At 37.3% G+C, this 27,956-nt stretch overlaps 1 long non-coding RNA gene and 1 pseudogene across 1 annotated transcript in view; both read left to right on the top strand.

The window, feature by feature from the left end:
- LOC283299 (uncharacterized) overlaps positions 1-27,956 on the top strand; it is a 55,205-nt gene that overhangs the window by 13,459 nt on the left and 13,790 nt on the right. Inside the window, exons 2-6 of the long non-coding RNA NR_036678.1 lie at positions 9,564-9,637; positions 10,424-10,541; positions 11,348-11,408; positions 12,738-12,902; positions 13,414-13,490. This is a non-coding gene — a long non-coding RNA (uncharacterized LOC283299). The remainder of the gene's footprint in view (positions 1-9,563; positions 9,638-10,423; positions 10,542-11,347; positions 11,409-12,737; positions 12,903-13,413; positions 13,491-27,956) is intronic.
- RNU6-943P (RNA, U6 small nuclear 943, pseudogene) lies at positions 3,218-3,315 on the top strand (annotated as a pseudogene).

Below are 27,956 nucleotides of genomic sequence, written 5' to 3'. Positions count from 1 at the left end.
CATGTTGGGCTTAAGTGCCCCAGGCATTGCGTTAGTGACTGTGCACTAAGATCTTGTCTCCAATATGTAGCTCAGGCTCAAACAGCCTTACAGAGGTGGCCAGATTGGGTAGACTGTATGCCTGGAATAATAGGTCTTAAGCAGAGATTGTGGGCAGAGTTGTTCAAATCAATACTGGATGTTCTTGGAGGTCTGACACACTGCCTGAGATCATCACGTGTCCTTGTGCAACTCTTTTGGCATCCAAAGAATCCATCCCATCAGCGTATGCAATTTGGGCATAAGATACAACCACTTCTGGGAAGTACATAAGGGCAATTCTTTTTAGAAAGTTCGTGTTTCCCCTATCTTTTGGCTTCTCAGACAGGCCTTTATAAAGGTGGGGAAAATCAGGCGTTTATTACGAATGAAAATTTGTTCAGTCTCTGTGATTATTGTTGCCAAATATTACCTGCTTTTTGCTAACATTGTAGCCTTTGCTAAAAAACTCTATGGACTGCTGATACTTGGTAGTTTATAGAATTTCAAGTCACTGTTTCAAAAGAAAATTGTAGTAAATCTATTTTTGGTGTTAGGGCCAGATGTCATTATAAGGATGTCTGGACAAGAGGCTGGAAGTCCTTGTAGGTCAGGATGGCCGAAAGTAGCAGAAATATGAAGAGCAGAGCACAGATGCTCCCACTTTCATAATTGTAAACTTGTCTCTTGGTCTATTGCTTTGCTTTGTGTTTCATTCAGATAAAGCTATTCAATGACCATCTTTTAGTGCGGTTTTGTTTAGAATAGTTGTCCTGAGAGTTGGTTTTGGGGCCTCTGGGAGACCCTGAGACACTTTTATGAGTACTGTGAGATCAAAATTATTTTCATAGTAATTTAAAAATATTATTTGCCTTTTATCTCTCATTTGCCCAAGAATGTACAGTAGTCTTCCAGAAGCTACATGATGCATTATATCACAACAGATTGAATGCAGAAACAGAATTCAGCTGTGTTCTAAGCCAGATATTAAAGAGATTTGCAAAAATGTAAAACAATAACATCCTTTTAAATATCTTTGATCAAAATTGTTATTTCTGTCAACATGTAACGGAGTTATTATTATTTTTGAATGAGTTAAATAAATGTTTTTAAATGTCTTAGTTTTAATATTGAATATAGTAAATATGAATTGCTATAATCTTCATAAACAAAAACTCTTTGGGGTTTTCTAGAAATTTTAGAAGTATAAAGGAGTCTTGAGACCAAAAAGTTTCAGAATGTTGGCTGGGAGAATTCACTATAGTCAATTTCTCAATGACTTTGAGAGGAAGGATGTATGTCCTGATTCCCCCCACCTCAGGAAACAAGAGGCAGCAGGAAATACATGTATTTACGGGTCCCTGGTCTCCTTGTGTCAAACATCGCTCTCTGCATGGTTGATCTGTTTCCTTGGTAACCTAACTGTAGCTGTCACCTGTGGCCTATTAACAGCCTCCCCTGGCCAGTTGGATTCTACAGGGCAATGACTGGGAATAATTAGGAAACTTGGTAAGGAAGTTTCCTCCAGCAGGAAATTGGTTCCTCTGGAACTTGTTAGGCATTAACTCTACAGCCAAGACCGTGAAAACATTTACTGAAATTAGCGATAGTGTGCAGATCCTGTGGGAGCACTTACTCAGGGCAAATACAGTCAGGAATCAGGGACTATGAGTTTATTCTTAAAGGCTTAGGTGTTAGCTTTAAGCTATAAGGGAGCAATTAGGTTAAAATGACTCCTGAGTTTCAAACGGAGTCACACTTTTAAGCTTCTCCCTGGGGTTTTAAACATTGGTCTAGAGCAGGGGTGTGAGATGTAATTAAAGTCTACTTTAAATCCAGATGTTTCCCTTCACGGAGCCCCTTTGCCACCACAGACTTCAGTAATAGTTACAAAATCTTGCTGAACCTAGAGAAGTTGACCAAACTTAAGACAGCCTCAGCCAAGTGTGAATTTTTGATAGCTTGATCAGTCTCAACTCAATAAAAAGCAATACATTTTTCCCTGGATAACATGTGGAAGCTTTAAGATTTGTCCAATATAAGCACATGAATCTGAAGTAAAAATAAAACAAAACAAATCTACAAGAAAAACACCGTCATGTTTTCCCTGAAGAAAAATAAAAGCCAAGGATTCGACAGAGTGAAAGGAAAGAACAAGGGGCCCAGCCCAGAGGTCTCTACCTCGGGTGGGTTCCCTGCAGCCCGTGGAACCCCAGGTCTGTGAGAGGCCAGCCCCTCACAGAGAGTGACACATCTGACAGATAAATGGCAGCGCCATCATCTCCTCCTCCTATCATTCAAATGCTCTGCAGATGACCTGAAATGGAAAGCAGTTTCAGTTTGACACAAAAGATCAACACATCACAGTAGGAAGAGCATGAGCAGAGAGGGAGAACATTTCAGTGTGAAAATTTTGTAACAAAAGAAGAAAAATATAGAAGCATGAAAATATAATGAATAATGATTTGAGTGTCTACTATGAGCTGGGCACTCTGCTGAGCTCTTTGTGCTTTCTCATTTAATGCTCTTAACAGCCCTGTAGCAGAGGCACTACTATTACCTTCATTTTACTCATGAAGAAACCTAGCTGGGAAGGCTCAAATGCATTGTCCAAAGCTAAGTGGCAGAAGAGGCAATAGACTACCTTTCCCTTTAACTCCAGGTTCTAAGTTTTGACCGTATCCCAGGCACAGCATGTCCCTTTTCTTCTTCATTCAACTCACACTTACCAAGGGGTCACTCCATGCTAGACTTGAAAATAAGGAACCAAAACAGACATTGTTCCTGCCCATATGGGGCTTATAGTAGACGGCAAAATACATACATAAAATAATTACATAAATCAGCGCATCATCACAAGCCAATAAGTGTTTGGAGGAATATGTAAAGCAAACCAATAAGACTATCTATCTATCTATCTATCTATCTATCTATCTATCTATCATCTATCTATTGATCTATCTACCTTGATCTAGGCTGGACAGGTTAAGAAATACATCTCCAAGAAAGTGATATTTACATTTAAATCTGAATTTTAAATAGGAATTAACCAGGGAGTTTGTAGAGAGTAGGTGGCAGAGAGAGCCATGGGCAGAAACAACAAAGCCTCTGTAGCAAAAAGAAATCTCAGACAAAGAACTCAAAGAAGTATGAGAAGTATTAATATCATAACTGAGGAGGTGTTAAGTTTAGACATATAGTGCTCACTTCGGGAGCACATGTACTAAAATTGGATACAGAGAAGATCAGCATGGCCCATGTGCAAGGATTGGATATAGAAAACTTTAATACTTCATTAAGGATGCAATTGAAAAATCTCTTGCTATATTTTGATTTTGATTTTTTGTTTGTTTTGAACTTTTTGGCTGTTTTTCTCATGTGAGAAATGTTTCATATATAGATGACAGAGGATAATGTAATACATTTCCATGTAACTACTACTAACTTAAATATAATACTATAATTGGATAATGCTTTTAAATAATATGAACTTGATTATAATTGAAGTCTCTCGTATACATCTAATGACATCAAAAAGTTTTAAGCCAAGAGCAGACATGAACAGATTTGCATTTTGAAAAGATCTTTGAGAAGTTGCAGTGTAGGCAATGGGAAACAGACATTGATACGGGGATTCCAGTTAGCTGACTATTGAGGCTGTCCAGGTAAGAGGTATGATGGGCTGAACTGTGGTGGTTACAAAAGAGACAGATAGACTGGGGAGGTATTGGGATGAAACTGGCATGACCATTAGTGATGGATTGGTTAAGGGGAGTGAGAGGGTGCCATGGGGGCTGAAGATAACTTCTGAAATAATCTCTTATGGAGTGAAACAGTATTTCTAGGGGTAAAAGTATCTATCCTTAGTGATTATCTCAAGAATTAAGAAAAAAGTACAACCAAATTAAAATAGAAACACAATTTCAAAGAATTTTAAAATTACAATTAAGGAATTTTAATTTTAAGAATGTTAAATGTTAAATATTTTAGATTGATTTATATAATTAATCAATACATCTATTCACTATATCCTTTTCCCTCAACAAGATTAAAACTTCAGGTCAGGCCTGGTGGCTCACGCCTGTAATCCCAACACTTTGGAAGGCCAAGGCGGGCGGGTCATCTGAGATGAGGAGTTCGAAACCAGCCTGGTCAACATGGTGAAACCCCGTCTCTACTAAAAATACGAAAATTAGCTGGGTGTGGTGGCTCGCGTCTGTAGTCCCAGCTACTCCGGAGGCTGAGGCATGAGAATTTCTTGAACTCGGGAGGCGGGGGTTGCAGTGAACTGAGATTACGCTACTGCAGTCCAGCCTGGACAACAAAGTGAGACTCAGTCTCAAAAAAAAAAAAAAAAAAAAAAAAAAAAAAAGGTAAAACTTCAGTACACTTTTATTTCCTTCTCCCCCAAACCCACTCTCTTGCCTTGTATTATAATCTCTCTTGTTGACGCTGAGATTTCTTTCCAAACTCATTTTTTTGCAGCCTGCGTCAATAATTGTTTGAGGTTAATTATATGATTTCCTTGAGTTTTACTTCACTTGTGTCTGCGTGTGTGATTTCCCTTTGACTTGAAATCCCCCTTTTTTTTTTTTTTTTTTTGCTGGATTATATCCTGGAATAGTTCTTTCTTTTCTTTTCTTTTTTCTTTTTCTTTCTTTCTTTCTTTTTTTTTTTTGAGACGGAGTCTCACTCTGTTGCCCTGGCTGGAGTGCAATGGCGTGATCTTGGCTCACTACAAGCTCTGCCTCCCAGGTTAAAGCGATTCTCCTGCCTCAGCCTCCCGAGTAGCTGGGACTACAGGCACCTGCCACCATGCCCGGCTAATTTCTTGAATTTTTAGTAGAGATGGGGTTTCTTTCAGAGAGAGCCTGAGAGCAATAAACTTCCTGAAATCTTGCATGTTTGAAATGCTTTGTTTTGTACTTCATCTCAATGCTAGTTTGACTAGATGTAGTTTAGGCTCAAAATAAACTTTTCTTAGAACTTTGAGGAAAGCCTATTGCATTCTATCACAAACTGTTGCTAAAGAAAAGCATGGGATTAATCTTTTTATTTCTTTAGAGTCAAATTATGTTCTCCTCCCGCGCCCAAAGTTTGTAATATTACACTCCATTCTTGGTGCTCTGAAACTTACCATGGGAGGAATCTGGATTTGTGCCTCTGTAACATTCACCATGCTTGTCACTCAATGGGACTTTTAAATCTGAAGACTTTTGTGTTTCTTAAGCTGTGTGAAATGTTCTTAAAGTTATCTTTGACTGTTTTCTCTCCTCATTCTATTTTCTCCTTTTGGAACTCTATTTAAATAAATAGGGCTTGAGTTTCTGAATATATCTTCTGCATGTCCACTTTTTTATTTTCCAAATCTTTTCTTTCTGTTCTGCTTTTAGGTGGTGAAAACAAAGTTTAGTTTTCTAGTCCATCAGTCCCTTCTTCAATCATGTCTATTCCCTTTTTCAGCCCATTCTTTTATCTAATAAGTTTCAAATATTTTTCAGTCATCACAATTTCAAGTATTTAAAGTACATAATTAAATAATCTTCTTAGTAATGTATGTTTCTATTAATTGAAGTAATTTTAACTTTTTTTGTTTATGATCTGTTTTATTAGGTATTATTTCTTGTTAATGAAATTAAGTTTCTCTCTTTCTTTCTTTTTTTTTGAGACAGGGTCTCACTCTGTCACCCAGGCTAGAGTGCAGTGGTGCAATCATGGTTCACTGCAGCCTCAACCTGCTGGGCCAAGAGATCCTCCTGCCTCAGCCTCCTGAGTAGCCGAGGCTCATACCACCATGCTTGGCTAATTAAAAATTTTTTTGCTGTAGAGATAGAGTCTCATCATGTTTCCCAGGCTGGTCTGGAACTCGTGGGCTCAAGTGATGCTCCTGCCTTGGCCTCCCAGAGTGTTGTGATTACAGGCATGAGCCATTGCACCTGTCTGGTTTCTCTCTTTTAAGGCGTAAAATTTCCTCAAATGCCTGGTGGTTTTTGATTGCCATCTCACCTTTGGACTGATAATTTCTCTGTATTTACCTATGTATGTGGTTTCTGATGAGCTTCCCTTTATCATTTGGAGGAGTAGAACATGCCATGTGAGTATGTCAATAATTAAAAAAATTTTTTTTGATTGTTGGCGCAATCCATTCATCTTGGTTTGCCCACCCTACCTGGAAAATTGCCCTGAGTCTCTGTTCCTAGGGGCCACACTCACTACTTTAATTTCACAGGGAATGAGCTTGTGCTCAGCATAAGCAGAGGAAAAGGGATTGGTCAACTATTGGCAATACCTTATTTAATCATTCTGATGACTATCTCCATTGCTTCTTCCTGTTGCTTGTATCCACTGATTCTGAACTTAGAGTTCCACTCCTAACTCTTCTGTTTATGATTTTATGTTGAGGTTTTCCCTATTTTTTCTTCTATCAATTTAATTACATAATAGTATCTGCAAAAAATCATAATTTTGATGATTGTGTTTCTTCATTTTAGCATTTTCTTCCTCATTGTCTCCCCCTAATCTTGGCATATTGTCTTGACTAGGACTTTTACAATACAACTTCCAACCAGCCTGCCATAAGTGGGTAACAGATGTGCTGAGATGGCCAGAATTTTAATGGCTATTGCTTCTAGGCACAAGTAAAATTTTTCTTTCACACTACTGTGCCATGCAACATTATCATTTTCCAAGAATTCTATGGTGTGAAAAATATTGGGAAGTATTACTCTATAACAGTTGGGAAAACAATTCCTTCATTTAGCTTTTTCAAATTATTTGTTATAAAATGGTTATAGTATCAAGCTGAACCTAGCAAATTATTTTAATTTGTGGTTATACATCTTTTCCTTATTTTAATTTTATGTTTTTTTCCTTTCTTTTCTTACATCTCTTTCTTTTTCTTTTCTCCCTTTGGTAGACTTATCCAGGATGTGCCAATTATTGGTTATTGCAAAGAAGTAGATATTTCCTCATTAAATCAAGTATACTGGTTTTCTGTAATTTATTTAATTCATGCTTTTATATGTATTAATTCATTTCCACCACTTTTTGCATTATGATTAGTGGTATTTTTCTAGCCCCCTTGATTGAATATTTCATTTTATAAATCACCCTAATTTTAAATTAAATAGTGTTAAGGCTACAAGTTTTCTTCAGTTTACCACTTTGGACAAATAGTGATATACAATGCATTCCTTTGATGATAGTGATCCATTTCTAGTTATGCCATAAAAGGAATATATTTAAAAACTCAAGATATTTATAAGAGGTATTCATTTTTAAGTGCTTAGAATTTTTTTTTCTATTTTCTGTTATCATTTTCAGTTTTAATTTATTTCGATAAACACTGTACTCTATATGACTTCTATCTTTGGAAATCTATTAAAAACTTCTTTGCAGCTGAATCTATGGCCAATTTGTGTGTGTCATAAGCATTTGAAAAGCACGTGTCCCTATTGGGATCTAAAGTTAAGCACACACTCACCCACATGCATTCACACACACACACACATCTAGTGTTTTCTGCTTCATTTTAATGTTCATGAATCAGTTCACTTGATCATTTACCTGCTGCCACCTTGATCATTTACCTGCTCCACTTCTGAGTGGAGCTCAGAAGCCCCTGTCCCGGTGGGCTCTTCAGGCAGCCTGTCTGCTCATCTTGGCTGACTCATGGGTTGCTGCCATGGCAAAGAGGCCTTGACTGCTGTTGACCCTGGATAGTCTGGGCAGTCAAAATAAAAATGGAGTCAGATGGAGAATTTCAAGAAATATCACATAGAATTGCTCACTTAGTGACTGATAGGTCATGGTGATGGCAGCAGCAGGGAGGCATTGCCAGGGCTGCATGCTCCATGGAGCTGGCGGGATCCTTGGACAAGCGGGAGCCCTGCCTGTTCCGAGTTGGGGTTGGAGCTCCCAGGGTGCCCTGCAGCTACCCACACTGCAGCTGTAGACCTGGGCCTCCTGCTTCATGGAACAGGCAGGAGCCCCACCCTCCCAGGTGCAGCTGCAACAACCGGATCAGTGGCTACAGATCCGGGCCTCCCACTTCGTGCAGCAGGAGCAGGAGCAGGAGCCAGACCCTCCCCCTTTCCCTGCATCCCTGAACTCTTGGGGGCTGAGAAGGACCCCTGCCCTTGTAGACTCAGAAGTGCCTGCTCCCACTGCCTGCCTGGCTTCTCCCCTGCTGTTGGTACCTGCTCAGATCTTAGAGAAGTCTGGGTGAGCTTTGGCACCATGAATGGCAGCAGGAGGCAAACAGGTTCCTGGGCAGAAGAGGGCAGTCCCAGTAAGGCCCCACCTTCAGGCCAGGGAGGGCCTGAATTCTGGGGGCTGGGCCGCCAGTCCCGCAAACTGGAGTGGGGGCTTCTGGTGCCTTTTCCAGGACCTGCCACCCATGGCCGCCATGGACCAATCAACACACACTTCCTCCCCTCTGAGGTCCATAAAAGCCACGGGCTCAGCAAGAGCCAGCAGAGGATGGAGAGAGGACTGGATGATCAGCCGCAGAGAGGAGATACTGTCTCTGCTGAGAGTTGGAGATAATGAGATGACCAGCTGCAGAGAGGAGCTACCCTCTCTGCTGAGAGCTGTAGAGATCACAGGATGACCTGCCAGCAGAGAGGAGCCACCCTCTCCAGGGCCTCCTCTGCTGAGAGCTGCAGATATCAGGATGACCAGTTGCAGAGAGGAGCTACCTTCTCCAGGCCCTCCTCTCTGCTGAGAGCTGAACACTTGACAGGACTACCTGCCTGCAGAGAGGAGCTACCTTCTCCAGGCCCTCCTCTCTGCTGAGAGCTGAACACTTGACAGGACTACCTGCCTACAGAGAGGAGCTACCCTCTGTGGGTCTCCTCTGAGCTGTCATAACACTCAATAAAGCTCCTCTTCATCTTGTTCAACTTCCACTTGTTTGCATACCTCATTCTTTCTGGACATAGGACAAGAACTTGGGCAAAGGTGTCACCAGCCAGCCACAGAGGTTTCTGGCCAGAAGAGTGACACCCCAAAGATCCCATTACAATGGGACATTAGGAAGAGGGAAAAATCAAGAATAAAAAATAATTTATGACAAATATGGAACTAGTCAGCTATGGAAAAATTATTTATACATAGTATTCTTTTTAGTTGATTTTCTTGGGCTTCATGAGCATCATCAGGAAGTAATGATAATTTACCTGTTTTGTTCCAATATTTATAGTCTCATAAGTCTGATGTTGGCTAAAATTTCAGAGACTTTTCTAGGTCTCAAGGAGTTAGAAAAGCCTGTTGAAATCTGGGTTATAACAACAAGCCCCCTATGACTCCCAGGGCTTCCAGTGCATTGGCATCATAGAGAGTTACAAGAGTTTAGGGTCATCCAGATACAGCTGGAACTCAGTGACCCACTTCCTCTGAGTTCACCTAAAGGAGATATAAATAGGGAGATGCGTCATCTTAATGGGGATCATTCTGATTAGGTATACAATCTTACTAAGCCAACTCAGAGGAGGTTGCAGTTCCTTGCCAATTTTTGATAGCATTGCGTTCATCCACTTTCTCAGGCAGGGACTATAGGAAATGAAGGTGAACTCGTGGAGATTTTGGAGAGAATTTAATGAAGAGGCTGTTTACCAAGGTATGGGCAGAATTAAGGGGAATCATGAGGGATGTTGAGGCACTCAGAGACTAGTAACAACATTAACTAAAAATAAAGCCATTAAGACCCTAGGCTTGAAATGGTGATAAGGAATTAGTGTCACCTGAGTGGCGGACGTGTGGCAGGGGGTTGCCTGGTTAGAGCACTAATGGTAGAGGCACTAGACACTGCCAGAACCACAGTGCAAGGGGGAGCAGGGAGGAAACCAGAGACTACATCCCCTAACCTCTCTTCCCACACTTCCAACCTTTCGCTGGTGCTTTCAATCGGCTAGACCCAACCAGAATGCAGAGATCTAAGAGCCTGGGTGGTGCAGTGTGTGTGGTGTGTGTGTGTGTGTGCGCATGCGTGTGTGCAGCCCACTGGGGCACAGAGCAGAGTTGATCAGCGAAGGGCAAGAAAAGATTGTTACCAGGTCAGAAAAAGGATAACCAGAGCACACACTGGTGCTTGTTCCACTCAGTTGGGGCCGGGATACAGGGTGTGTTTTATATGCAATATATTGAAAATTATAGTACCTGAGGCAGAAGAATCAACCCAGGATTGCTGTTTTCTGATGTGGACTGTGGATGTGAAAAACACTAGGCAATAGAGATATAATCATAGCTACATTTTTATTCTGTGAAAACTATATATTATGAGCATTTGTCTTTTTCATTTCTTAACAAATATTTTTCAAAACTTTCATTTTATTTTTGATTTGGGTATACTTTAAGTACATAGAACATGTTATTTATTTATTTATTTGTTTATTTACTGAGACAGGATCTCTCTCTGTCTCCGAGGCTGGAGTGCAATGTTGCAATCAGGGCTCACTGCAGCCTCGACCTCCTGGGCTCAACTGATCTTCGTACCACAGCCTCATGAGTAACTGGGACTACAGGTGTGTGCCACTATGACTTTTGACTGGCCAATTATTTACTTTTTGTAGAGATAGGTCTTGCTATATTGCCAAGCTGGTCTCAAACTCTTGGGCTCAAGCAATCCTCCCGCCTTGGCCTCCCAAAGTACTGGAATTGCACAGTGAGCCACTGTGTCTGGCCACAGAACTTTTAAATTGTGCATTAAATCTGTTTTACCTTCATGATTCTGCCTTTGATACCATGCTTAGAAAGAATTTTCCTACCCTTAAGGGTTTATAAATTTCACCTACATTTCTGGTACTTTGTGACTTTTCCAAAAAAACCCTATATTTATTGCACAATTTATTGAAATATCCACATATTTTAAAAATATATTCATCTATATGTGTTTATAAATATTTATATCATATTTCTTTTCCTTTATGTGCTTATTATTTTCCTGGGCCAGTGCACTACACTGTTTTAGTTATTACTTTGTTATTGTTAGGATACATTTTAAATCTAGCAAAGAAAAGTTTCTTTCTTTGTTCTTTTTCCTATTTAAAATTTTTATTTTGGAAAATTAACAGAGAAATAAATGCTTTAAAAGGCTAGAAAATACAGACAAGCAATAAAAACAAGGAGAATATCCATACTCCCATCAGCTTAGAGATATAATATCTAGTTGTACACTTTCCCAGTTTCCTTTTTTTGTTTATAGTCCCTGCAAATTTTATGCATACATATTTTTACTTATAGAAATTAAATTATCTTATATATACTGTTTTGAATCCTTTTATTTGTAATTTAATAGACGACCATGGGCATTTTTTCTATGCAACTACAGATAGTATCTCATGATATGAATGGTCCTGGATTTACTTACACATCCTCCTTTGGATGAGCAAGTAAGTGGTTTCCAATTTTTTCCACTATTATACAGAATACGCAAATGAATATCCTTGCACTTACATGATTTATTTCTTAAAATAAATTCTTATGAGTGCAATTCTTTTTATAAAAGAAAATTATATTTTTAACTTCTCTAAATGTTGCCAGGTTTCCCTCCAGAAACATTTTACTCCTACTATGTATGAAATTTCCCTTTCCTCCTTAGCCTTGCTAGCAATGGGGGGGGGGTTTATGCTTACATTTTAAATCTTGGCTAACCTGATAGGTAAAAATTAATATATCGCTATTATTTTGTTTGCATTATTTTGATCATGAATAAAGTTGAGCCCTTTATCCTATATGTATTTTATTTTAAATGAATTTATGTATGTATACAGCCCATTAAAATATATATCCTATATTTATATATTTATATTATATAATATGTAATATTTATATATATTTTAAATTGGATTTTTTTGTTTGTGAGTACTTTTTATATAATATAAATACTAGATTGAATTGAATAGATTTCAAGTATTTTTTAGTTACCTTACAGTTTCTTTCCAATATCTCATACAAATATTTAAAACATGTATGGGATCAAATATGTCACCATTTTCATTTTGAATCGTGTTCTTGGTGTCATCTGCAGAAAAATCTATCCAACCTAAAGTTCATTAAAACACATTTTCCAATTTTTCCCACGGACACATTTACATTTGGCTGTGGTATAAGCTAGATATCCAGTATTTTTTTTTACCAAAAGAATAGTCTAGTCTTACACCACTTTTGAATAACATCTTTTCTGCAATAACTTGAAATACTTCTTTTATCTTATTTTTAGCTCCTAGATATACTTTGGTCTGTTGTCTGGGTCTGTTCTGTTTCATTGATCTATACTTTTATTTCTAGGTGACTTCCACAAAAAGTTAATTTTTGAGGCAGTTCATTGGCTAGGCAGAAATCCTAAAATACAAACCCATTCTGATTGGTTAATTAGGATACTCCCAGCTGAGAGATGTTGAAGGGCTGCAGACACTGAATTCAGTTGTTATCCAAGTCAGCTGGAACATTCTGTAATCCTTTAGCAGGTGTGAGTGCAATCCCCTTGCAATCTCCTGTCTCCACTTTAAAGCCTTAGCCTTAATTACTTCATTTTCTTTCACACGGTGAGAAGCTTGTACCGCTTTTTCCTAGCTCCTGTAATACTTTTGTTTTTCCTGTAAAGAAACCTCTTGGCAATGGTGGAGATTTGCACAGGCCCTAAGAGCCATTGATAACGATATCATTATTCGACACTGTCGTTACAAATCTATGTACCTTCCTGACTTTCATCTCCACAGAAAGTAAATTTTTCACAGTGATAGACATTTGTAGTGCTTTTTAAAGGCACTGGTTCTGGTGGACACTGAGAGACAATTTTTATTTGCTGCACGTGGAAAGGACAACAACATACCTGGACAGAAATGCCTCGAGGATGTACTGAAGGCCCCTCTCACTTTTCACAGGTACTGAAGACAGATTTAACGGACATTTATTTTCCCCAAGGGTCAACTCTCAGTAGGTTGATAACCTTTGTTTTCCTTGTAAAGAGGCTTGTGAACATGATAGCGTTTATATCCTTAAAATTCTAGCAGACAAAGGCCATAAAGTTTCCAGAGAAAATTCCAATTTACCAAGGAATGTCAAATATTTCAGATACTTGATACTAAACTAGGGACCTCTCTTGGATCCTGATAGACTTAAAAGCTTGTATGGTTTGGATCCGTGTTCCCACCAAGTCTCATGTCAAATTGTAATCCCCAGTGTTGGTGGTAGGGCCTGGTGGGAGGTGATTGGATAACGGGGGTGGGATTTTTCATGACTGATTTAGCACCATCCTCTTGATACTGTCCTCGGGATAGTGAGTGAGTCTTCATAAGATATGGTTGTTTAAAAAAGTGTGTAGCACCTTCCTGTCCCCCACCCTCTTCCTCCTGCTCTGCCCAAGTGACATGTCTGCTCCCTCTTTGCCTTCAGCCATAACTGTAAGTTTCCTGGGGCCTCTCCAGAAGACAAGCAGATGCCGCTATGCTTCCTGAACAGCCCACAGAACTGTGAGTCAATTAAGCCTCTTTTCTTTGTAAATTACTCAGTCTCAGGTATTTCTTTGTAGCAATGTGAGAATGGACTAATACGAAAGCATTTTAAACTTTCCTCAACCTCAGACTAAAAGACAGTCACAAGGGTTTTTGGGCCTGGCAGAGTACTGTTGAAACTGGGTATCTAATTTTTCTTAATAGCTCTATCATTATATATCCTTCTGAAACTTAACAAGCTGGAGCCTCCGGACTGGGAAGAGAATGCTTGTAGAGTCTCCTTTCAATTAAAATAAGGACTTCTAAGTCATCCTGCCTTAGGGCACCCCTTATCAGCTCCCCTTCCTCCTTTCTAGTGAATGAAAGAGAAGAAAGTGCATTAGGGGTTCTTAACTGAAAACATGGAGATTAACACACACACCCCTTGGATGTTACAGCCAGCAATTAGATTCAGTAGCTAAGGGACTCCCTTCCTGCATGGGAGCTGTATCAGGCACTGTGGCTTTAACTAAATCTATGTTCCTCATGTTATAGAAGCTTTAATCAATTCTCATAATACTCAATATCTTTCTGCAAGCAGAGTCACTTTTTATGAGATCTTGCTGTTGACTTCTCATATTATTCTTTCTCATTTCAATAATCATAATCCAGCAAATTGCCTTCTCTTATTCAATGACGAGACACCTCATAACTGACTAAATTTAACTGACCAGCTACTAAAACCTAGAGCTGATTTACAAGAAACCCGTATACCAGATGCAGAATTTTCATAGTTTACTGATGGATCATACATGTCCGTTAATGAAGAAAAGTATCTTGCTGGATGTACTGTTATCATTCTTTTTAAGTAACTGAAGCAGCCCTGTTGTCAATGGCTACTTCAGCCCAGCAAGCAGAACTTTATCCCCTAACTGGGGCTTGTATCCTGGTGAAAGGTAAACCTGCAAATCTTCACAGAAACATATTATATGATTAAATGTATATGAAATGTCCAGAATAGCAATTGCTAATGTATTTTCTGTTTCTATGGACTTGTCTATTCTGGACATTTCATATATATAGGTAGTCATATAATATATTGGCTTTTTGTCTCTGTTTTCTTTCACTTAGCATAATGTTTTCAGGGTTCATCCATGTTGTAGCATGTGTCAATACTTCATTCCATTTTATGCCTGAATAATTGTCTACTATATATAGATATACTACATTTTTAAATATACAGGTTGAACATTTAGGTTGTTTCCATTTTTGGCTATTATGAATTATGCTGCTATGAATGTGCACACTTTTTGTGTGTGTGAACATGTATTTTTTAGTTGTTTTTGGTACAGTTCTATGGGTGGACCTGCTGGATCATATGGTAACTGTATGTTTAACTTTTTGAAGAATCGTCAAACTCTTTTCTAAAGTAACTACTTTAGCTATACCTCATAAATTTTGACAGCTATATTTTAATTTTAATTTATTTAAAATTATTTTCTAATTTCCCTTTGATTTCTTCTTTTACCCTTTGGTTATTTATGGGTGTGTTATTTACCACATATTTGTGAAATTCCAAATTTTTTTTCTGTTATTGGTTTCTCATAGTGTTCCATCGTGGTTATAGAACATATCTTGTAATTTCTATCTTTTTAAATTTACTGAGGTTTGTTTTTTGGTAAACCTATGGTCTTTCCTGGAGAATATTTTATGTCCACTTGAGGATAATGTATACTCTGTTATTGTTGGGTAGAATATTCTATAGATTTCTATTAGGTCTATTTGGTTGATAGTGTTGTTCAAGTCTTCTATTTCCTTGTTGATCTTCTGCCTAGATGTTTCATCCATTACTAAAAGTGGGGTATTAATATTTTCAACTATTATTATTGAATTGTCTATTTCTCCCTTCATTCTGTCAGTTTTTTCTTCATGTATTTTGGTGTCCTGCTGTTAGATGCATATATATTTGTAATTGCTTTATTTTCATCGTGGAATGACCCTTTTATTATAAAATATCCCTGTAGTCACATGCTTTGTTTTAGTCTGTGTCATCTGATATTAGTGTAGCCATTCCAATTTTATTGTGGTTACTGTTTGAATGATACATCCTTTTACTTTTAACGTATTTGAATTTTTGAATTTAAAGTGTATATCCTGTATATACACTGATATTTCTATATTATGGAATAATATATTTATTATATAAAGAACTGTTATAACAGAATAATAAAGGCAAATAACGCAATATAAAGATTGGCAAAGGATTTGAATAGTCATTTCTCTGAAGAAAGTATGCAAATGACCATTGGTCATTTGAAAAGCACATGAAAAGATACTAAACATCATTAAACATTAAGGAAATGGAAACCAAAACCACAATTAAAAGAGTTCCACTTCCATGACAGCATGGTGAGCTCTGAAGTCCCACCTTAAAGAACTAAAAATATATGTTCACACAAAAACTTGTACATAAACATTCATAGCAGCATCATCCATAATAGCCAAAAATGGAAACAATCCAAATGTTCAACTTAAAGATATATAAAGAAAATGTAGTATATCTATATAGTAGACAATTATTCAGGCATACAATGGAATGAAGTGCTGACACAAGCTACAACATGGATGAACTTTGAAAACATATATATCCTGTATATACATTTAAAGTATATACCCTGTAGATAGCATAGAGTTAGATCTTGTGTGTGTGTTTTTTTAAATGCAGTCTGTGATTTCCTGCCTTTTGATTGGATTGTTCAATACATTCACATTTAATGTTATTATTGACATAGTTGGATTTATGTCTGCCATTTTAGTTTTTGTATCCTGTATGTCTTGCATGTTTTTATCCTTCAATTTCTTCTTTACTGACTTATTTGTTAGGGCAAGAGTGATCAGGGCCTCATAATTCACGATAATAATATGCCTAAGGTAGATCCTCCATCCCACAAGTAGGGGCTTGGTGGAACAAGGGAGCCCTGACCTCTCAGCTGTAACTGACCTCTCACCTGAAACTTAGCTTCAGAACTAGGCATAGGATAAGAAATGCTGAAATCCCCCCTCTTCTAGGAGGTTAGCTCTCCAACTGGAAGCTGGGAGGAAAGAGAGCCCTGAGTTCTTGACCTCATCAGTTTGGAGTAGAGTTTGTCTCTTGATGAACTGGGATAGGGGAGGGAGGGAGCAGGTCTTGTTTTGAATACCACAGAATCTTACTGTTCTTATTAAGTTTTAGTAGATTTTCTTGAATAAATTTTTTAAAAAAACTTGTTGTATACCCTTAGAAGCATTTCCAGAGACTAAATCATTGTGTTTCCAAATACAATTTTCACTTGTTTTGCTCGGGGGTTGGACTTTGGAGCTCACCATGCTGTCATGCAGGAAGTGGAACTCTTTTCACTGTGGTTTTGATTTGCGTTTCCTTGATATTTAATGATGTTTAGTATATTTTCATGTGCTTTTCAAAGGACCAATGGTCATTTGCATGCTTTCTTCAGAGAAATGTCTATTCAAATCCTTTGCCCATTTTTAAATTGTGTTGTCTTTATTCTTCTGTTGTAATGGTTCTTTATATTTTCTAGATACTAAGCTCATCAGATATATGATTTGTAAATATTTTCTCCCTTTCTTTGGGTTGTATTTTCATTTTCTTGATAGTGTCCTTCAAACCACAAAAGTTTTTAGTTTTGATGCATTCCTATGTATATATTTGATTGTTTGTGCTGTAGGTATTATAGCTAAAAACCTGTTGTCTAATGCAAGATCACAAAGATTTACACCTATGCTTTCTTTTAAGATTTTATAGTGTTAGCTCTTACATTCAGATCTTTGATCCATTTTGAATTAATGTTTATATATAGTGTGAGGTAGAAGTCCCAGTTCATTATTTTGCATATGGACATTCAGTTATCTCAGCATCATTTGTTAAAATGTTGTAAAATTTTAATGAGAAATTATTTAAATATATAAGTGAAATAGATGATAATTATATTTGTAATATTGAATTTTCTCATGTGAAACACATTTCTATTTATTTAGGTACTTACATTTGTGTGTAAAGTGATATCATTTGTTTGCTTGCTTGTTTTAACAGAAGTTTTGAATATTTCTTTTGATGCTGCATTTGTTGTTATCATTAATGGGATCATTATGCATTATATTAAAATTTTCAAAATGTTTGTCTTTACCAAAGTCAAAATTGCACATTTTAATATTAATTTAATTTTAAAAGTTAAAAATTAGTGTATTCAGTCTCCTTTCTCCCTTTTTTCTCCTACCCCACAGTTGAGCATTTTAAATTATTTTTTAGTTGGATAATTTGTTTATCATTATATCTTTAAAAATCAAGCTTGCATTATTATTTCTTTTTTTTTTTTTTTTTTGGTTTAAGCACTATCCATTGACTTCCTGTTATAAAAGATGAGTATTTACCTCTCATTCCTCTCTCTTTCCCACTCTACACAGCTAATTTCTTGTTATTTCACTCCTAATATTGCTACTCTTTAATATAAATTAGATCAATATTTAGTTTTAAATTATCATGACAATGTATGTAATTCAGAACCGAGATATGTAGTAAATAATGACTCTTTTTTACCTGAGCCAACTTAACTAAATAACTTTCTATTTTTTCTATAGTTAAGTAGGAAACTATACTGCTAATTCAATCTCCAAATTCTTCTCCTCTGGTTGTTTAAAAATTCTCTCAGTATGTTACTTCATATCAGATATTCTATGAATTTCATCATTTTGGAGAGTCCCTGGTGTTTCCTTACTGGTGTTTCCTAACATGCTTCCACACCTATTTGATGCATAGCTATTATCTTGGAGTCTTCTTTACCTTTATCTTGGGAGTGTCTCTGGTATTTAATGTCTTTATTGCTTCACTCTCCTATTTTGATGAAGCACATTTTCAAGTTGTTTCCTGAGAAAGGGTGTGTGGGAGGTAAACATTTTCAGATCTTGTTCATCTAAAAAGCTCTGCATTCTACCCTGGCCCTTGGATGGTTATAAAATTCTAAGTTGGAAATCACTTTTTAAAAAAGCATTTTGAATTATTGTTCCATTGTCTTTCAGCTTCCCATATTGCTACTGAAAGTCTTAAAGCCATTCTCATTGCTAATAAAGCTTGTGGTATTTATTTTCCTCTCTCTGGAATCTAGCAAAATCCATTTTCTGCCTCCTTTGTCAGAAGTTTCACAATGATAAGCCTTGATATGCATTTGTTTCTAGACAGTCTGTTGGGCATTTACATAACCTTTAGTATCACATCCTTTATATACTTCAGAGAGAGATATTGAGAATGGATTTTGGCTTTGGTGTGAGAGAAGATGGATCATAGTTTAAATGTACTGCCTTTTTATCTTTTATAGCTGGGAGGCAGCAACTAAGATCTTAGATTGATAAATCAGGAAAATAGTGGTATAATAAATGTTGGAGTTTTTATGGTGGCCAATAGAAATTTTAAAGGGAGATAATGGTTTTCAATTTTTCTACTCTGCTGTACTTTTGGAACTTTTAAAGCCATATTCATGTTTTGGTTTTAGAATTAAAATATAAAACAATATATAAAAATAAAAGTGTATATGCTCTGTGATCCAGCAATTCTACTTTTAGCAGTCTTATTCCAGAAGCATTCATTATCCTACTGTTTATTATGGCAATATTTGTAACAAAAAATGTTAATAGGCAAATGATTAAATAAATTGTAGTACTTCTGTGCTATATTCTATGTCCCGTGTGGTTGGAATTATCTTAGTTCCTCTCCCTACCTTCCTGCTTTGGCCCTAGAAACAGAAATATTCACCCTTTAAGAAGTAGGGGAAAATGGTTTCCACACTTCTCTTCATCTCACAATGACATGTGAAGACATGAAAAGAGTGATGACTTATCTGATTGGTGAGATCAGAAGAGACTGGACTAGTCATTTATTTATTCTCTCTTCGAACCAGATAATGTATTCTGTGTTCTCTATAGTAAGACCTGCAGGGGAAGCCTTTGCACTGTCAAAAGACCTGCTAGGTCATAAATCCAGCTGGGCTTCTCTAATTCAGCTGCATAAAGAGTTCAGATTTAAATTTAAGTGAAAAAAGCAAGGCAGAGAAATATATATACATATAATATGTGTGCATATATATGTTATTTGTATATGTATATATACATATTTATAGATCATAGATCTCAAATATTTAAGAAAGATAATATTTGCATATCCTATATATGAAATGCAGAAGAGTTTCAGAAGTATGCATATCAAATTGTGAACTCTTGTTTCCATGAGGTAAGTAATAGCAGGGAGGAGTAAGAGGGATTTTTACTTTTTATCTCAATGTATTGTTAAAATATTTTAGTTTCTATAACCACATATTTATTGATGCAATTAAAAGTTTGAGGAACAAAAATACCCTGGAAGAGAATACATGAATATTTTCATGTATAGTGGTTCAATAGTGGTTATCTCCAGAAAGTGAGTTGTGGAAGTCTATATCATTTATTTGTTTAATATTTTAAAACAATAACCTTGTATTACTTGTTATGATTCATAAAAATAAGATAATATTAGTTTTTCATCATAGGCAATAGCTAGCCTCTCCCAGATCATGTTGCTTGATGGCTGTGATCATGGTCACAGCCTTTCTTTTTTTCTTACATTTTGAGAATGCTTTTATTGCTTCAAGTCTAAAATTAACATGTTTTCTCGTTTTTCTTCCTTAGTAGAATTAATTAATTGACATAGTTTCTATTCATATCTGACCCTCTGAAATAAACCTTACCTGGTCATGGTGTGGACTGTTTAATACATAATGTATTGAATTCAAATGGCACGTGTTGGACTTAGAACTTTTGGCTTTATCTTCACAACTGATATTGGGTTATAGTTTTTGTGTGTGTGTGTTTCTGGCTGTGACATCAAGGCTATGTTAGTCTCAAAGAACGAATTTGGAAATCTTGTAAATAAAACTTCCACATCTCCCACACTTCTGCTATTTTTAATAGTGATTATGCACAGTGCAAGTGCTAAGTACTGTGTTCTTATATACTTCTTAAAGTTTCAGTAGCTGCTATACAGCTTTTTTCTTATTTCTAATATTGTGTCTTTAAATTTTTGCATTTTTCTTAATTAGATTTTTTGGAGATTTTCCTGTTTAATGAGTTTTAAAATAGAAGGCCCAGCCTTTAGAACTAGTTGTATATCCTATTATACTCCTGTTTTTCTAACTAGTTTTCTTCTTCTTATCATAACTTCTTACTTTGACTTTTATATATTTTGTTCTTCTTGCTTTCTGAGTTGAATGTGCAGTTTGTTTTTCATTTCCTAGGTTTAATAATAAATATGCATAATAATAATAGCATTAATAATTATGCAGTTTTTCTGAGGACAGCTCTGATTGGAGAGGGCCCTTATTTCCATACTTATCTCCATGATACTTTGACTTAACCCTGGTAGGGCACAGGAATGGAGTGCAAGTTTCAGATACAACTTGTGTGACTTTTATGTTCATGGAAGAATTATTGTTAAGTGTGCTTTTTTCCTTTTCTTCTTATTGGAAATCTATGTGACATTTTTATTTTAAAAATAGGGTTTTTCTGCTTAAAAAGGCTTAACACTGTTGACTGTGTTTATATTTACTCTATTTAACTTTATTTTCTTCACACTGCATTGACTTTCTGTGAGGAGATGAGTCACATAAAATTCTATCATTCCTGTCTGCTTCTGCCTAGAGCACTCTAAATGCATGGTGGCTACCATCATTATTACTGCACCCCTTCCTAGCCTCACCTCTTGCTCAATTCTGTTCAAGAGGATTTCAAAGGAAGTCAGAAATAAGAATAGTATTCAGCATGACTCACAGAGCAGTGCTGCAGAAATAGAGGTGGATGGACACATTCTATTTTTTCATTGGTACAGGGACTAGGTAAGGCTAATTACTGAAGACACAGAAATATAAATACTAAATTTTATGATAAGAAAATAAAACATACTAGAAACAACATACATTTTATTTATAAAAATCCAAAACATTGTTAAATGAAACAATACATGAAAGATAAAAATAAAAAATCTTGGCCGGGTGTGGTGGCTCAAGCCTGTAATCCCAGCACTTTGGGAGGCCGAGGTGGGCAGATCACGAGGTCAGGAGATCGAGACCATCCTGGCTAATACTGTGAAACCCCGTCTCTACTAAAAATACAAAATAATTAGCTGGGCGTGGTGGCAGGCGCCTGTAGTCCTAGCTACTCGGGAGGCCAAGGCAGGAGAATGGTGTGAACCCAGGAGGTGGAACTTGCAGTGAGCCAAGATCACACCACTGCACTCCAGCCTGGGCAACAGAGCAAGACTCTGTCTCAAAAAAAAAAAAAAAAAAAAAAAAAAAAAATCTTAGTGGGGAGATGGTAGATGAAATGAAATGGTGAAATGACTGGTTGACTAAAACAGAGAAAGAATAATAAAAGCAATCTAAAAAGATCATAATTAAACTTATTTAATTATGTGAAAGTGAAACATGGGTATTGCATATTATTGAATTAGTGCTAGATACACAAAGTTGAGAGACTCTTCCACAATGCAGAAAGTAATATGAGCAAAAAATGATGAAAGAGAGATGATGAAAAATAAGGAGTACAGAGTCTGAAGATCCAACATACAGATAATAGGCATCTCTGAGGAAGCATTTATTTACTGTGAATCAGAAGCCATAATAGATTAAAGAAAATTTCATAAACTAAAAAAATGTGATTCTATAGAATGAGAATATTCCCTGTATTTCAGGCAAAAATAATAATGAGAAGAGACCCACATGGAGGCAGATTGGTGAAGTTTTTGAATTTCACAAGGGACAGAAATCAAATAGTTTCAAGAAGTCTAAAGAACTTTGTGGGAAATGTTTATGAGCCAGCAATTTATGTGATAAGAGAATAGATATAGTCTCACTTAAATACGGCCTCTGAAAATGAATTATTTATGCACATTTCATTGAAAGTTATTCAAAGACATAATTATTTTGGCAAGAAATGAACCAAATATTAAATCAAGAATGAGGAGATACAGAGTTGAAAAAACTGAACTTGAACACTGATAGTTAAATTATACTGAGGTCTCTCATTTAATGCATATTTGTACCACGTTTTACAGAATGGGACCTTAAAATAATGTACATCTATTTTTTTCACATGTAATGACTTCATATATTTTTAAGCACAAAGAAGAAACTAAACAAAGAACAACTAACAAAGAAGAAATAAAATCTTAGTCTTAACCCCTCACCACAAGGCTTTTGGGTTCATGGCCTCTTGCAGAAGAATACACAACAATAACAGCTGTGCTATTGTCCATGTAGTGTTGAAATCTGCACACACATATTATGCTTGTTCCTTCTGAAACAAATAGATGGGCCAAAAGGTCCTGTGACTCATCCAACTGCTGGACCAAAGATTTCCACCTCCATTGATTCTCTTCTCCAAACATCTTTGTGGGAAACCACACTGGATGCGGAATGGGAGTGAGGCTCACATGATAAGAGAATTTGTAGATGGTTTGTTCTTTTTTGAATAAATTGTCCCTTGACCTAAATTGTCATAGAGGTTCTCAAGACAGTAATAAATGTTGGAGCAAAATTGAAATCTAGAGTAAATGTTCCTGAAATTTTTTTTCTTTTAGAAGGAAAGAACAGAACAGTTAGGGGAATCAATGATACAAATAAATAAAATAAATGTTTCCTGAGCTAATGAAAACTTCGTATCTTCAGGTTAGAAAGGCTCATTGAATGTCAGACAAAAACAAAATTAAAGAAAATATTTAGAAAAAAGGATTGACTCAAGAAAGTGAAAGATGTGGTAGAAAGAAAAGGTGATAAATAATAACTCCTCTGAAATAATTGTTTAAATAATTCCTGTTCATGTGATTTTGAAATAACATATAGGTTCATAAGTGATTTTTGTCATTGTTGTTGGGATGGAGTCTCATTCTGTCACCCAGGCTGGAGTGCAGTGGTGCAGTCTTGGCTCACTGCAACCTCTGCCTCCCAGGTTCAAACAATTCTCCTGCCTCAGCCTCCTGAGTAACTTGGACTACAGGTGCGCAGCACAACACCTGGCTAAGTTTTGTATTTTTAGTAGAGATGGGGTTTCACCTCATTAGCCAGGCTGGTCTTGAACTCCTGACTTCAGGTAATCCACCCACCTAGGCCTCCCAAACTGCTGGGATTACAAGCGTGAGCCACTGTGCCCAGCCCATCTGTGATTTTTAAAAGAGAAGATGCATTGTTAAAAAAAATTGTGATATGAATCTAAAATATTCAGATCATTGGGACTTGGGGTTATAGGGAGATAAGTGAGGAGGCAAACGTGTGATAAACTGTTTCTTTTATAGGGTGTATGTAAAAATCATGATGTATTCTGGAAAGTGATTCAAATTCAAATGCAATGTTTAAAATCACAGGCTGGGTGAGGTGTCTTACGCCTGTAACCCCAGCACTTTAGGAGGCTGAGGCAGGAGGATCGCTGGAACCCAGAAGTTCAAGACCAGGCAGGGTGACATAGTGAGACCCTATCTCTAAAAATTTTTTTGTTTGTTTGTTTTTTTGAGACAGAGTCTCACTCTGTCACCCAGGCTGGAGTGCAGTGGCGCGATCTCGGCTCACTGCAAGCTCCGCCTCCCGGGTTCAGGCCATTCTCCTGCCTCAGCCTCCCGAGTAGCTGGGACTACAGGTGCCCGCCACCACATCCGGCTAATTTTTTTTTGTATTTTTAGTAGAGACGAGGTTTCACCATGCTAGCCAGGATGTTCTTGATCTCCTGACCTCATGATCTGCCCGCCTCGGCCTCCCAGTGTGCTGGGATTACAGGCGTGAGCCACCGTGCCCAGCCAAAAATTTTTAAAATTACCTAGGAGTGGTGGCGCGCGTCTGTAGTCCCAGCTACTCAGGAGGCTGAGGTGAGAGGATCACTTGAACCTGTGAGGTTGAATCTGCAGTGAGCCATGATTATACCACTGCACTCTAGCCTGGGTGACACCCTTTTTCAAAAAAAATCACAGATAACCAGTAACTAGCAAGTAAAATATGAAGGAAAGATAATCACTAGCGCAAAGTTAGAAAAAAGAAAAAGCAAAAAAGTGTAAAATTAGGAAAATGAAAACATACTAATAGAAAAATATGATGATAAAGTTTGACCAAATGCCATATTTATAAAAATAAATGTGAATAATTTAGATTTGAATTAAAAGATGAATATTCTCAAATTATATCAAAAGTAAAATTTAAATATAAGGTGTTTACAAGGGACTCAACTAAAGCAAAATAACTGATAAATTTTAGCAATAAAGTGATGGCAAAAATATAGCATGTAAGTAATTCATAATTTTTTTTAAAACCTGGCTGGGCGCGCTGGCTCACGCCTGTAATCCCAGCACTTTGGGAGGCTGAGGCGGGCGGGTCATGAGGTCAGGAGATCGAGTCTGTCCTGGCTAACATGGTGAAACCCCATCTCTACTAAAAATACAAAATATTAGCTGGGCGTGGTGGCAGGGGCCTGTAGTCCTAGCTACTCGGGAGGTTGAGGCAGGAGAATCCCTTGAACCCGGGAGGCGGAGGTTGCAGCAAGCTATATTGCACCACTGCACTCGAGCCTGGCGACAGAGCAAGACTGTCTCCAAAAAAAAAAAAAAAAAAAAAAAAATCCATGTCTCTCCATCCCATCATTATTGTTCATCCCATCATCTTGCTCTTGTATGACTGCTACGTGAGCATAACTGTAATAATTCTTTTTGCCTTTAGTCTTATCTCTGTCTTGTTCACCTCCCACACTGGTCAGACTAACCTTTCTAAAATGCATTTTTGTCTGTTAGTCCTCTGCTTGAAAGTCTAGTAAATTCACATTGCTTTTAGGATAAAGTCCAAACTCCTTAATATGGCCTTGCATCATCTGTCCTTCACAGCATCTATAGCCTCAATTCCTGCCATTCCCTAGTTTGTACTTTCTTTTTTTTTTTTTATTATACTTTAAGTTTTAGGGTACATGTGCACATTGTGCAGGTTAGTTACATATGTATACATGTGCCATGCTGGTGCACTGCACCCACTAACTCGTCATCTAGCATTAGGTATATCTCCCAATGCTATCCCTCCCCCCTCCCCCCACCCCACAACAGTCCCCAGAGTGTGATATTCCCCTTCCTGTGTCCATGTGATCTCATTGTTCAATTCCCACCTATGAGTGAGAATATGCGGTGTTTGGTTTTTTGTTCTTGCGATAGTTTACTGAGAATGATGGTTTCCAATTTCATCCATGTCCCTACAAAGGACATGAACTCATCCTTTTTTATGGCTGCATAGTGTTCCATGGTGTATATGTGCCACATTTTCTTAATCCAGTCTATCATTGTTGGATATTTGGGTTGGTTCCAAGTCTTTGCTATTGTGAATAATGCCACAATAAACATACGTGTGCATGTGTCTTTATAGCAGCATGATTTATAGTCCTTTGGGTATATACCCAGTAATGGGATGGCTGGGTCAAATGGTATTTCCAGTTCTAGATCCCTGAGGAATCGCCACACTGACTTCCACAATGGTTGAACTAGTTTACAGTCCCACCAACAGTGTAAAAGTGTTCCTATTTCTCCACATCCTCTCCAGCACCTGTTGTTTCCTGATTTTTTAATGATTGCCATTCTAACTGGTGTGAGATGGTATCTCATTGTGGTTTTGATTTGCATTTATCTGATGGCCAGTGATGATGAGCATTTTTTCATGTGTTTTTTGGCTGCATAAATGTCTTCCTTTGAGAAGTGTCTGTTCACGTCCTTCACCCACTTTTTGATGGGGTTGTTTGTTTTTTTCTTGTAAATTTGTTTGAGTTCATTGTAGATTCTGGATATTAGCCCTTTGTCAGATGAGTAGGTTGCGAAAATTTTCTCCCATTTTGTAGGTTGCCTGTTCACTCTGATGGTAGTTTCTTTTGCTGTGCAGAAGCTCTTTAGTTTAATTAGATCCCATTTGTCAATTTTGTCTTTTGTTGCCATTGCTTTTGGTGTTTTAGACATGAAGTCCTTGCCCATGCCTATGTCCTGAATGGTAATGCCTAGGTTTTCTTCTAGGGTTTTTATGGTTTTAGGTCTAACCTTTAAGTCTTTAATCCATCTTGAATTGATTTTTGTATAAGGTGTAAGGAAGGGATCCAGTTTCAGCTTTCTACATATGTATGGCTAGCCAGTTTTCCCAGCACCATTTATTAAATAGGGAATCCTTTCCCCATTGCTTGTTTTTCTCAGGTTTGTCAAAGATCAGATAGTTGTAGATATGTGGCGTTATTTCTGAGGGCTCTGTTCTGTTCCATTGATCTATATCTCTGTTTTGGTACCAGTACCATGCTGTTTTGGTTACTGTAGCCTTGTAGTATAGTTTGAAGTCAGGTAGTGTGATGCCTCCAGCATTGTTCTTTTGGCTTAGGATTGACTTGGTGATGCGGTCTCTTTTTTTGGTTCCATATGAACTTTAAAGTAGTTTTTTCCAATTCTGTGAAGAAAGTCATTGGTAGCTTGATGGGGATGGCATTGAATCTATAAATTACCTTGGGCAGTATGACCATTTTCATCATATTGATTCTTCCTACCCATGCGCATGGAATGTTCTTCCGTTTGTTTATATCCTCTTTTATTTCCTTGAGCAGTGGTTTGTAGTTCTCCTTGAAGAGGTCCTTCTAGTCCCTTGTAAGTTGGATTCCTAGGTATTTTATTCTCTTTGAAGCAGTTGTGAATGGGAGTTCACTCATGATTTGGCTCTCTGTTTGTCTGTTGCTGGTGTATAAGAATGCTTGTGATTTTTGTACATTGATTTTGTATCCTGAGACTTTGCTGAAGTTGCTTATCAGCTTAAGGAGATTTTGGGCTGAGACAATGGGGTTTTCTAGATATACAATCATGTCATCTGCAAACAGGGACAATTTGACTTCCTCTTTTCCTAATTGAATACCTTTTATTTCCTTCTCCTGCCTGATTGCCCTGGCCAGAACTTCCAACACTATGTTGAATAGGAGTGGTGGGAGAGGGCATCCCTGTCTTGTGCCCGTTTTCAAAGGGAATGCTTCCAGTTTTTGCCCATTCAGTATGATATTGGCTGTGGGTTTGTCATAGATAGCTCTTATTATTTTGAAATACGTCCCATCAATACCTAATTTATTGAGAGTTTTTAGCATGAAGTGTTGTTGAATTTTGTCAAAGGCTTTTTCTGCATCTATTGAGATAATCATGTGGTTTTTGTCCTTGGCTCTGTTTATATGCTGGATTACATTTATTGATTTGCGTCTATTGAACCAGCCTTGCATCCCAGGGATGAAGCCCACTGGATCATGGTGAATAAGCTTTTTGATGTGCTGCTGGATTCGTTTTGCCAGTATTTTATTGAGGATTTTTGCATCAATGTTCATCAAGGATATTGGTCTAAAATTCTCTTTTTTTGTTGTGTCTCTGCCAGGTTTTGGTATCAGAATGATGCTGGCCTCATAAAATGA

Source organism: Homo sapiens, chromosome 11 (assembly GCF_000001405.40).
Source record: "Homo sapiens chromosome 11, GRCh38.p14 Primary Assembly".
Classification (NCBI taxonomy): Eukaryota; Metazoa; Chordata; class Mammalia; order Primates; family Hominidae; genus Homo; species Homo sapiens.
Note: the sequence above shows the minus strand (reverse complement) of the source record. Positions and strands in the feature narration are given on the sequence as shown.